At 46.7% G+C, this 12,930-nt stretch overlaps 1 protein-coding gene across 1 annotated transcript; it reads left to right on the top strand.

Moving 5' to 3' along the window:
- Window positions 1-7,759: 7,759 nt before the first annotated feature.
- Window positions 7,760-11,219, top strand: PRAMEF18 (PRAME family member 18). Its single transcript, NM_001099850.2, has 3 exons — window positions 7,760-8,094; window positions 8,481-9,059; window positions 10,009-11,219. Exons 1-3 carry the CDS (start codon window positions 7,808-7,810, stop codon window positions 10,580-10,582), a joined length of 1,440 nt encoding a protein of 479 aa, NP_001093320.2. The 5' UTR covers window positions 7,760-7,807; the 3' UTR covers window positions 10,583-11,219.
- Window positions 11,220-12,930: the final 1,711 nt, after the last annotated feature.

Raw genomic sequence — 12,930 nt, 5'->3', positions numbered from 1 at the left:
ATGCCTGTAATCCCAGCACTTTAGGAGGCTGAAGAGGGCAGATCACTTGAGATCAGGAGTTCAAGACCAGCCTGGTCAACATGGTGAAACCCCATCTCTACTAAAAGTACAAGAAAAATTAGCTGGGTGTAGTGGCAGGCCCCTGTAATCCCAGCTAATTGGGAGGCTGAGCCAGGAAAATCGCTTGAACCCAGCAGGTAGAGGTTGCAGTGAGCCGAGATGGCAACACTACACTCCAGCCTGGGCAACAGAGTGAGACTCTGTCTCAATCAAAGCAAAACAAAACAAAGCAAAACAAAACAAAACAAAACAACAAAACAAAACGAAACAATACATGAGCATGATCATGTTACCCTCTACTACGTAATCAACGTCTTACTAAAACCAGACATTGGTGGCCGGGCACAGTGGCTCTCATCTGTTATCCCAGCATTTTGGGAGGCCGAAGCAGGCAGATCACCTGAGGTCAGGAGTTCAAGACCAGCCTGGCCAACGTGGTGAAACTCCGTCTCTACAAAAAATACAAAAAAATCAGCTGGGCATTATGGCGAGTGCCTGTTATTCCAGCTACTTGGGAGGCTGAGGCAGGAGAATCGCTGGAACCTGGGAAACAGAGGTTGCAGTGAGCTGAGATGGTGCCATTGCACTCCAGCCAGGGTAACATAACAAGACTCCGTCTCAATAAAAAACCCAAAAAACAAAAAACTAAAAAACTAGACATTGGTTTAATGGAAACATGAGAGGCAAAGGGATTGTCTCTACAGTTCTACTATATGAAATAAATAATAGCTTCTTTTGTTTGTTTGTGTTGTTTTTGTTTTTTTGAGACAGAGTCTCACTCTGTTGCCCAGGCTGGAGAGCAATGGCATGATCTTGGCTCACTGGAACCTCTGCCTCCTGGGTTCAAGCAGTTCTCCTGCCTCAGCCTCCAAGTAGCTAGGATTACAGGTGCTCTCCACCACACCTGGCTAATTTTTTGTATTTTCAGTAGAGACGAGGTTTTGCCATGTTGGCCAGGCTGGTCTGAAACTCCTGAGCCCTAGTGATCCATCCACCTTGGCCTCCCAAAGTGTTGGGATTACAGGCGTGAGCCACTGCGCCCGGCCAATAGTTTGGTTTATTAGATGCATCAATAATCAGGGCATTTTGTAGAGGAACCTACTTATCCTTTAATGGAGATAGCATGCAATGGCTACTTCATCTAATTCATTAAAATACTTTTTCTTCCTACATTTATTTATTTATGTATTTATTTTATTTTATTTTTTTTGAGATGGAGTTTCACTCTTGTTGCCCAGGCTGGAGTGCATTGGTGTGATCTCAGCTCCACACCTCTGCCTCCCTGGTTCAAGCGATTCTCCTGCCTCAGCCTCCCTAGTAGCAGGGATTACAGGCATGTGCCACCACGCCCGGCTAATTTTGTATTTTTAGTAGAGATGGGGTTTCTCCATGTTGGTCAGGCTGGTCTTGAACTCCCGACCTCAGGTGATCCACCCACCTCGACCTCCCAAAGTGCTGGGATTACAGGTGTGAGCCACTGTGCCCAGCCTTATTTATTTATTTATTTATTTATTTATTCATTTATTTATAAGACAGGTTCTCACTCTGTCACCCAGGCTGGAGTGCAGTGGCAGATCTCAGCTCACTGCAACCTCTGCCTCCTGGGCTCAAGTGATCCTTCCACCTCAGCCCCCCAAGTCACTGAGAGTACAGGTGCATGCCACCATGCCCAGCTAATTTTTGTATTTTTTGTAGAGATGAGGTTTTGCCACATTGCCCAGGCTGGTCTTGAACTCCTGGACTCAACAATCTGCCCACTTTGGCTTTCCAAATGCTGGGATTACTGGTGTTAACCACCATGCTTGCTCCTCTATCCCAATTTAAACCACAATCACACAATCTGGTGTCAATGGAAATTAAGGCTGTTGAGGGAGAAATAATTTGATACAAGTTTATTGGAAGCTGAATGTGAGAATTGACCCAGGAACATACAGCAACAAAGTGGGTGTGTTCCAAAGTCTATTATAAGTTGGAATGCTTTCATGAGAGAGTGTAGAAGGCAGTGGGACTCCTCATAGCTGAGTTGTCCTTCAGTGATGGGTACAACACAGAGGTTACAATCATTGACCAAGGTTGACAATGAACAGGCCAAAATGCTTGAAGTGCAAGACAGTTAAACTTCATGATCAAAATCAAATCAGCGTCCTTCTCAATGTCAGAAGGTGAAGCCTTTGTCAGTACTTGAAGAGTTTGAGAAGCTCATGATCAGATGATTTACTCAGGGACAGGATGTAAGCCATGAATCCTAAGCCCTTCCCCAGATGGTTGGTTTGGAAGCCCGCCAACTGTGATTTGCAGGTTTTTGTTTTTGTTTTTGCTTTTTTGAGATGGAGTCTCACTCTGTCACCCAGGGTGGAGTGCAATGGTGCAGTCTTGGCTCACTGCAATGTCCACCTCCCTTGTTCAAGCAATTCTCCTGCCTCAGCCTCCCAAGCAGCTGGGATTACAGGCATGCCCCAACACACCTGGCTAATTTATATATATGTATATATTTTTTAGTAGAGATGGGGTTTCACCATGTTGGCCAGGCTGGTCTTGAACTCCTGGCCTTAGGTGATTCTCCCGACTTGGCCTCCTAAAGTGTTGGGATTACAAGTGTGAGCCACCAAGCCTGGCCGATCTGCAGGATTTCACTGGCAATGTGCAGACGTAGCTATGATGAAGAATAACCATGACCGTCCCATTACCTCCGACTGGTGGAGAATGGGATCCTTTGACCCTTTCTCACCCTAAAACTGGGTTACTCATCTGTGTGTCAACAAAAATATGGTGTACTTAACAGACAGAGAAAGAGACTCAGTAAAAAAGGATTTTTTTCTTATGAAATGAGCAAAGCAATGGGAATAGGTGTGAGACTATTCAGGGAGGTCAAGGAAGACAAGGGTTTTGAAAGGAAAAATAAGGAGGATTACATAAGTGGTTCTGAAGGCATCCTCCTTGGCCATAAGGATCACAGTTAAGGTGGCATTGGCCAATGTTGGAAAGAGTCTCCCTCATGCCCACAAAAACCCAACACATTGACCATGCCTTGGTTCAATCTCAAGGTCCCATTGGAACACTAAGCCCAACCCAGCCCAGCCCAGCCACCACCCTTACTTCTCTTTGTAATTGTTACCTGATTTCCTCCAGAGAAACCTGGAACAAAATCTTGAGACCAATCACACCCTTAGTGGTACCTCTCTTCCACACAAATGAGCATACGATTTCCTCATATGGGTAACTTAAATCCCAAATGACCAATATATACACGAACATTTAAATTCAATTTTGTAGGGATAAAACCACTGCCTTCATGAAGCTGTTTTTTGTTTTGTTTGTTTTTGTTTTTGATACAGGCTCTGTCGCTCAGCCCAGAGGGCAATAGATTGATCTAGGCTCACTGCAACCTCTGCATCGTGGGGATCAAAAAATGGATCTTCCCATTTCAGCCTCCAGAGTAGCTGGGACCACAGGTGTGTGCCACCATGCTTCACTGATTTTTTTTTTTTTTTTGAGATGGTGTCTCCCTCTGTCACCCAGGGTGTAGTGCAGTGGCATGATCTTGGCTCACTGCCACCTCCACCTCCCGGGTTCAAGTGATTCTTCTGCCTCAGACTCCTGAGTAGCTGGGACTAGAGGTGCATCCCACCATGCCCAGCTAATTATTGTATTTTTAGTAGAGACGGGGTTTCACCGTATTTGCCAGGCTGGTCTCGAACTGCTGACCTCATGATCTGCCTACCTTGTCCTCTCAAAGTGCCAGGATTACAGGCTTGAGCCACCGCACCTGGCTTATAAAGTTTAAACTCTGAAATATTTTTATTTTTATTTATTTATTTATTTATCTTGAGACTGAGTCTTGCTCTGTCACCCAGGCTGGAGTGCAGTTGTGCGATCTTGGCTCACTGCAAGCTCCGCCTCCCAGGTTCTTGCCATTCTCCTGCCTCAGCCTCTGGAGTAGCTGGGAATAAAGGCACCCACCACCATGCCTGGCTAATTTTTTGTATTTTTGGTGGAGACAGGGTTTCAGTGTTAGCCAGGATGATCTCGATCTCCTGACCTCGTGATCCACCCGCCTCAGCCTCCCAAAGTGCTGGGATTATAGGTGTGAGCCACAGTGCCTGGCTGAAACCTTTTATAATTTTGTTTTGTTTTGCTTTTTGAGGCAGAGTCTCTCTCTGTCACCTAGGCTGCAGTGCAGTGGCATGATCTTGGCTCACTGCAACCTCCGCCTCCTGGGTTCAAGTGATTCTCCTGCCTCAGCCTCCTGAGTAGCTGGGACTACAGGCGCCCACCACCACACCCGGCTAATTTTTGTATTTTTAGTAGAGACAAGGTTTCACCATGTTGGCCAGGATGGTCTCGATCTCCTGACTTCGTGATCCACCGCCTGGGCCTCCCAAAGTGCTGGGATTACAGGCATGAGCTACCGCGCCTGGCCCATTTTGATAATTTTGATGGGGCCAAAGATTTCCCCAACATTAATCTTTTTAGGTTTTGTTTTTCTCTCTAATGTCAGGAACAGAGTGAGAGTTCCCTGTCTCACACTCAGGACAAAGAAGGTCACATACTGGTAAATTCCATCAGTGTTTGTTAGGGTGGAAGTCAAGAATTCACTCATTAATGCCCTCCAGAAGCAGAGATGGAGTGGTAGTAATATGTGACCTTCCTAGTCCTGAGTGGAAGACAGGGAAGGGTTCAACCTATTCCTGAGATTAGACAGAAAAGCAAAACCGGAAAATATTATGGTTGGGAGTTCTTTGGTGACATCAAAATCATCAAAATGAGTTCTTGACTTCCACCCTAATTACAGTGCTTTCAGTTTCATGATTGGATATCTGATTCAATCCATTATTCTGCAGAAAGCCAAAACTTCAATCAGGCTTAACTGGGTGGAATTCAGAAATCCCATCAGGCATCACTTTCTGATAGGAATCTGGAAGTTGATAAAGGAGGTGGGATTAGGAAAGTCCAAGAAAGTTGCTGGGAGCCGTGGCTCATGCCTGTAATCCAGCACTTTGGGAGGCTGAGGGGGAGGGTGGGTCATGAGGTCAGGAGTTCCCAAGACCAGCCTGGCCAATATGGTGAAACACCATCTCTGCTAAAAATACAAAATTAGCTAGGTGTGGTGGCGCATGCCTGTAATTCCGGCTACTTTGGAGGCTGAGACAGGAGAATCACTTGAATCCAGGAGGTGGAGGTTGCGGTGAGCCGAGATCACGCCATTTTACTCCAAACTGGGCAACAAGAGCAAAACTCCATCTCAAAAAAACAGAAAGGTCCAAGAAAGCTTGTGAACATCCACAGAAGAAACCCCAAGCTGTGGTACCTGGAGTTATTGCTTGATTCTCCAAGAGGTCCGAGCAGACTGCAAAGTGAGTCCAGATCTGGTAAGTCAGGTACCTTCACAAGGGCACTCCTATGACCCACAGTCAGCCAGTAGAGGGCGACATGAAGGCCAAGGTGGCACAGAGAATTTTCTTGCCTGTTTTTCAGATGAACAGATGTAGGCTTTAATTTTTTCTCTAATGCAGTTTTATCTCTTCACTCCAAATATTTTATTTGTGTTTAGTTTATGTCATTTCAAATGTTTTTTTTTTTTTTTTCTGAGATGGAGTCTTGCTCTGTCACCCAGGCTGGAGTGCAATGATGAGGTCTCGGCTCACTGCAACCTCTGCCTCCTAAGTTCAAGCAATTCTCCTGCCTCAGCCTCCTGAGTAGCTGGGATTACAGGTGCCCACCACCATGCCCGGCTAATTTTTGTATTTTTAGTAGAGACAGGGTTTCACCATGTTGGCCAGGCTGGTCTCGAACACCTGACCTCGTGATCTGCCCACCTAGGCCTCTCAAAGTGCTGGGATTATAGGTGTGAGCCACCATGCCCAGCTTCAGAGTTCCAAATCAAGCAGTTGAAAAATAATGCAATTGACTGAAGTCTTTTTTTTTTTTTCTTTGAGACATTGTCTTCCTGCGTCATTCTTGGTGGAATGCAGTATTGTGATCTCGACTCACTGCAACCTCTGCCTTCTGGGCTCAAGCCATCCTCCCTACTCAGAAGTTCTAGCCTTCTGAATAGCTGGAATTCAGGCATGCACTAGTATAACTGGCTAATTTTTTTGATTTTGTTTTTTTCTTTTTTTTTTTTTTTTGAGAGAGAGTCTCACTCTGTTGCCCAGGTTCGAGTGCAGAGGCATGATCTTGGCTCACTGCAAATTCTGCTTCCCGGGTTCAAGTGATTCTCCTGCTTCAGCCTCCCAAGTAGCTGGGACTGTGGGTGTGTGCCACCACACCTGGCTAATTTTTGTATTTTTAATAGAGATAGGGTTTCACTATGTTGGCCAGGCTGGTCTTAAACTCCCAAACTCAGGCGATCTGCCCGCCTCAGTCTCACAAAGTGCTGAGATTACAGGTGTGAGCCACCGTGCCAGGCCTATTATTATTATTTTTTATAGTGATGAGGTCTTGGTTTGTTACCTAGGCTGGTCTGGGACACCTAGATTCAAGCAAACCTCCCACTTTGCCTCCTAAAGTCTTGGGATTACAGGCATGAGCCAACATGACTGGTCTCATACACCATTTTCAAGAATGGAGTCTTTGTTCTGAATGTGGGATCCATTTGTTTCTCTAGACTCCATTCCAAAGTGGGTAATATTTTATTTATTTATTTATTTTATTAAGACAGAGTCTTGCTGTTCTGCCCAGGCTAGGGGTACAGTGGCAGAGTCTCAGATCACTGTAACTTCTGCTTCACAGACACAAGCCATCCTTCCACCTCAGCCTGCAGAGCAGCTGGGACTACAGGTGTGCGCCATCACATCCATCTATTTTTTGTATTTTTTTGGAGAGACAGGGTCTCACTATGTAGCCCAGGCTGGTCAGCAACTCCAGGGCTTAAGTGATTGTTCTGCCTTGGCTTGCCAAAGTGTTGGAATTACAGCTGTGAGCCTCCATGTGTGGCCCCTCATTACTCTTTTGAAAGTGAACATAATGGTGTCTAATTAAAAATATCCCTTTAGTCTCTCCCAGCCAAGTTCACTGTGGGAACTGAGACTGTAGACTGTTTGGGGCCACAGGAGACTCCCATTACCATTGTTTTATTGTTTTATTTTATTTATTTATTTTTTTGAGACTGAGTCTCGCTCTATTGCCCAGGCTGGAGTGCAGTGGCACTGTCTGAGCTCACTGCAACCTCCGCCTCCTGGGTTCCAGTGATTCTTGTGCCTCAGCCTCCCGAGTAGCTGGAGTTACAGGCACCTGCCACCATGCCTGGTTACTTTTTGTGTTTTTAGTAAAGACTGGGTTTCACCTTGTTGGCCAGGCTGGTCTCTAACTCCTGACCTCAAGTGAGCCACCCGCCTTGGCCTCCAAAGTGCTGGGACTACAGTTGTGAGCCACCAAGCCCAGCCACATGACCATTGCTTTAGATCCTTAAATTGAGAAGACATTTTTTTCTCAAAAAAGGAGCTGAGCTTTGAAGATTCTTGGTAACACTTCCCAGAGCTAATAGAGTTGGGTGGAGAAATTAATGAAAATTCATGGAGTAGGAGTGATCTTGCCCGTTCCTTGGAGGTTGGGAGACACTCTTCTTGGTACCAGAAGGGCAGAACTATGTCTCTGTGGCCAATTATTGCAGAGTCGAATTGGGGTAAACTAAGGACTTTCACACCTGCCAGAGTAGTGACTTTTGGCCCAGGAGAAGTCAGGGTGTGAGAGGACTGGCCTGATAAGTTTGTCTTCTCTGGATTTGTTTTCTTGCAGATTTATCAGGATGAGCTTCCAGGCCCCACGCAGACTCCTGGAGCTGGCAGGGCAGAGCCTGCTGAGGGACCAGGCCTTGGCCATCTCCGTCCTGGATGAGCTGCCCAGGGAGCTCTTCCCCCCACTGTTCGTGGAGGCCTTCACTAGCAGACGCTGCGAGGTTCTGAAGGTGATGGTGCAGGCCTGGCCCTTCCCCTGCCTCCCTCTGGGGTCCCTGATGAAGACGCCTGATCTGGAGATCTTACATTATGTAGTGGATGGGATTGATTGCCTGCTTGCCCAAAAGGTTCGCCCCAGGTGAGGTGACCCAGGTGGGGAGGGCCCAGGTGTCCAGGGACTAAACAGCTGGGTCAGACAAATTGGGAACCCGGGGTGGCCCAGGGGCTTCTGATGGTGCCAGTGAGAAAGCTGGGAACGTTCTTGGCTATTGCCCAGCTCCTCTGGGAAAGGACTGCTCACCATACAGGGTCCACTGAGGAAACAGGAACCTGCCTGCTCCCAGTGGAAGGTAAAGGCACTAGAAGTGGGTACCAGGCAGAATCCAAGGGGGAAAGGGATGGAGAAGAGACAGAAGGAGGGGCGCTGAGGAAAAAAGCAGCTGAAGTCCTTGATGTGGAGTGAAAGCCCAGGTCAGGGGTGGGTCCTTGTCTACGTTCTGAGCTTTTCCCCTATGTTACTCACAGGAGGTGGAAACTTCAAGTGCTGGAAATGCGGGATGTTGATGAGAATTTTTGGACCATATGGTCTGGAGCCAGGCTCCTGTCCTGCTCCCCAGAGGCCATGAGTAAGAGACAGACAGTGGAGGACTGTCCAAGGACAGGAGAGAAGCAGCCCTTGAAGGTGTTCATGGATGTTTGCCTCAAGGAAAAATTCATGGATGAAGATCTGAGCTTCTTCTCTGGGTGGGTGCAGCACAGAAGAGGTTCAGTACACCTGTGCTGTACTAAGGTGGTGAATTATTCAATGAGCATTCTAAATTTCAGAAACATATTGGAAACAGTATACCCAGACAGTATCCAAGTGTTGGAAATTTGGAACATGTGCTGGCTGTGTATGATAGTAGAGTTTAGCCGTTACCTGAGCCAGATGAGGAATCTTCGCAAACTCTTCATCTCTGATGGCTGTCGTTACCTGCTAAGCTCTGACAGCCAAGAACAGTTAGTTGCTGAATTCAGCTCTGTGCTCCTCAGGCTGGAGAACCTCCAGATGCTTTATGTAAGAAGGGTCTGCTTCTTCAGAGGCCACCTGGACCAGCTGATCAGGTGAGGAAGGATGGTGAGCTTTCTCTGGGGGCCATAGCACAGCCTTTTTTTGTTACAATAAACACCAATCAGCATCTACTGTGTGCCAGCCACTGGAGATGTCTAGGGAAGGGGACACTAGAATGCATTGTCCTGTTTGGTGCTCTATATCCTGAAGTGGGTATCACAGGATCGCTCCAGTAAGGGCAGAGGGATGACCTGGGGTAGAAGCTACAGAGAGGGACATCGTGTAGGGAGCTGGTTAGTGGAGGGTTCAGCTCTAGTGAGGGTGAATTCCTTTTAGGAATTCCTTGTTAGGAAGTGTGTTTAAAGTTAATATGATAAAAAAGAGGCAACAGAGGGGAGGGTGTAAAAGAAGAGAAAGTGCACCAAACCTGTGTGTTTCACAGAGGAAGCTCTGTCCTCACAGCTTAGTGAACATGAATGATCCTCTCTCTGATTCCCTGTCTGTAAAAGGTTGTTTTGAACTCCAGGAAAGGTAAGTGACATGGGAAATGCGTGCTTCTGGGATGGAGGTGAGGGAATAGGCACGAGAGTGGTACAAAGTGACAGGTGGTTTGCAGATGTGGCCATGTCAGGGAGCCTCTGAAAGCAGGTAGCCCTAGCTGATGTCCCTAGACCTTGCTCAGGTCAGTTCTTTGGGCATCTCTTCCACTGGGCTCCTGTGGCCCAGAGATGAAGCTTTCTGCTGGAAGATGAAGAAAAGAGGCTTTAGAGATTTTATGGCCTTGAACCAATCACACCAGTGATGGTGAAAGGACTGAGCCTAAAATGGGACTGCCTCTGAATGATCCAAGTCCTCATCAGGCAGCACCTTGCGGGAGGACCATGATTAGATGATGAGAACAAACTTGTGTTTGGGCAAAACAGGCTCTTCCCTTGACGTTATTTTCTACCACCGTCCTCTAACTGGTGCCATTGCCCAGTACTAACTTCTTGCTCTCCCCAGGTGCCTCAGGAGCCCGTTGGAGACATTGGCATTAACTTATGGCTTCCTAGAAGAAGAGGACTTGAAATGCCTGCCCCGGTACCCAAGTCTCAGTCAACTGAAGCAGCTGAATCTGAGTCATGGTGCACTGCGCTTCATCCGTCTTGAGCCCCTCCGAGCTCTGCTAGAGAAAGTTGCTGCCACTCTTCAGACCCTCTTCTTAGTGGACTGTGGGATTGGGTACTCCAAACTCAGGGTCATCCTGCCTGCCCTGAGCCGCTGCTCCAACCTCACCACTTTCTGTTTTCACGGCAATGACACGTCCATGGATGCTCTGAAGGACCTGCTGCGCCACACAGGCAGGCTGAGCAATTTGAGCCTGGAAACATATCCTGCCCCTCGGGAGAGTCTTGACAACAGGGGTCGTGTCATTTTGGAGCTCCTCACCCCACTTCAGGCTGAGCTGATGCGTATACTGAGGGAAGTAAGGGAGCCCAAAAGGATCTTCTTTGGTCCGGTGTCCTGCCCTTGCTGTGGCACGTCGCCCACTGAGCAACTGGAGTCCAATTTTTGCTTGTGGGGAAGGCCTGCCTAGTGGGGTGGAGGTATAAAAAGCTTTTTCTCCAGGCACTTGGAAACTAAAATCTGGGACATAGATGTCTTTTATTTTTCTTTTTCCTTATTTTACAATTTTACAGCTTTTATTTAAAAATTTGAAACAGGGTTTCCCTATGTTGTCCAGGCTGGTCTCAAACTCTTACGCTTAAGGGAGCCCCCTGCTTGGCCTCCCAAGATTCTGGGATTACAGGCATAAGCAGCTGTGCCGGGTCTATAGGTGTATTATAAAGGGAACAGAGAAACCTCTGTTTCAGGCATGTGCTTTCTGTGAGTGGAAAACAAAAAACAAAAAATCCCAGCAGGGGGCAGCACTGGGGAAAAAGTTGAATGGAGTCACTGAGACTCAGGGATCTGTGTCCTAGACAGTCAGAAATAGAAAGCTGAAGTTCTAGAGTGAGGGAGTTATCTCAGCAAGGATGGATACAAAGAAACGTCGGAAGTAGAGGGAACCTAAATGGAAACTCTCTGCTGTCCTTCATGATTGATTAGCCTGTTTCAGCAATTTATACATCAGAAATCTTTAGTTCCTGATGAATTAAAAAAAGAGGTACTAGTTCATCTGTGATTTAGGTTCATCTGCAGGAAATAAAGGAATCAAAATAAACTTCATGTTGTCGTTGTGGTTTTTTTTTCTTTTTTTTTTGTTTTGTTTTAGACGGAGATTCGCTCTTGTTGCCCAGGCTGGAGTGAAATGGCATGATCTTGGCTCACCACAACCTCCGCCTCCTGGGTTCAAGCGATTTTCCTGCCTCAGCCTCCCGAGTAGCTGGGATCACAGGCATGCGCCACCATGCCCAGCTAATTTTGTATTTTTATTAGAAACGGCATTTCTCCATGTTGATCAGGCTGGTCTCGAACTCCTGACCTCAGGTAATCTGCCCACCTTGGCCTCCCAAAGTGCTAGGATTACAGGCATGAGCCACAGAGCCTGACCTGTTTTGTTTGTTTGTTTTGTTTATTTGACGGAGTCTTGCTTGGTCACCTAGGCTGGAGTGCAGTGGTGTGATCTTGGCTCACTGCAACCTCCAACTCCCAGGTTCAAGGGAATTTGTGTTTTTAGAAGAGACGGGGTTTCACGATGTTGGCCTGACTGGTCTCAAACTCCTAACCTCAGGTGACCTCAAGGAAGCCTCCCAAAGTGCTAGGATTACAGGCGTGAACCAACGTGCCTAGCCTAAACTTTGATTAATTTATGCCCATTCTTTACCTCTCCAGTCATCTCTTCCTTACTTTCTCCTGTGGTTATTTACTGGGTTCATCCACAAAAGATGCATGCCTGGGACCTGGAACATTCTATGTGGGCAGTGATGATGAACCATTGAGTCAACCCTCTTCTTGTCAGGGGCCCTCACTGCTCCCCAGATACCGAGACCCTGCTCACTCCTAATGGGCAGATCTGGGAGAATCTGTTCCTGATCATTGGCCATGTCAGGAAAGGGCTTCACTGCACAAGGTGCGGCCCCCTGCCTTGGGAGGGAATGGCCATAGTGTGTACTAGCGGGAGCCTCATGGCATCACCAACACTTGCCTGTCCTCATGGTGGCTAGTGGGTTTTACTGAATTAACATAATTGTGTGTAGTAAAGATGTCCAATTTCTCTTAGAAGAATAGTAAAATCATTTAGGTAGATGACACATTCTAAATATTTCTAGCCCACATCAATATGCATCCTTTTGGAAATTAACTCATTTCAATGAGACATCTTCCTGTAACACCTCCCTTCTCTCCTTATCAAAAAACGGGAAAACCAGGGCACTGACCTGTCCTCATGGTGACTAGTGGGGTTTACTGAATTAAAGTGATTGTGTCCAGTAAAGATATCCAATTTCTCTTAGAATAATGCTAAAATCATTTAGGTGGATAATACATTCTAAATATTTCCAGCCCATATTAATGGAAATATACATCCTTTTGGAAACTAACTCATTTCAATGAGAGATCTTCCTATCACACCTCCCTTCTCTCCTTATCAAAAAACAGGAAAACCTGGGCTTGACCTAGCTAGCGCTCCTACACTGCCATGAGAATCCCTTTGGGACTTTCCCCATTTGGGACTGGCAGCACTCTTGTGGTTTACTAAAACTTAGGTAAACCTGGGCTTAAGCCACCACCTGGAGCCAAGAAGGAAGCAGCAACCTAGTGGTGAAGATTCACTAAGGGAATGTATTCAGTCCAAACCAAAGCAAGCCAGACAGAGAAAACTGGAGTAAATCATTCTTCCTTCAGTGCAAAAATACAGATCTATATCTACAAGAAACTAGAGCAAACAGGAAACTGTGACCTCCCCAAAATGACAAAGCAGAAATCTAGTGGGTGACTCTAATG

Source organism: Homo sapiens, chromosome 1, assembly GCF_000001405.40.
Source record: "Homo sapiens chromosome 1, GRCh38.p14 Primary Assembly".
Classification (NCBI taxonomy): domain Eukaryota; kingdom Metazoa; phylum Chordata; class Mammalia; order Primates; family Hominidae; genus Homo; species Homo sapiens.
This window is presented reverse-complemented; position numbering and strand designations above follow the sequence as displayed.

Bases quoted from the DNA above. Each gene is read 5' to 3' on its own strand.
- PRAMEF18 (NM_001099850.2), top strand. From the start codon at position 7,808: ATGAGCTTCCAGGCCCCACGCAGACTCCTGGAGCTGGCAGGGCAGAGC. The intron at 8,095-8,480 runs GTGAGGTGACCC...TGTTACTCACAG, and splicing joins GCCCAAAAGGTTCGCCCCAG to GAGGTGGAAACTTCAAGTGC. The intron at 9,060-10,008 runs GTGAGGAAGGAT...TGCTCTCCCCAG, and splicing joins CACCTGGACCAGCTGATCAG to GTGCCTCAGGAGCCCGTTGG.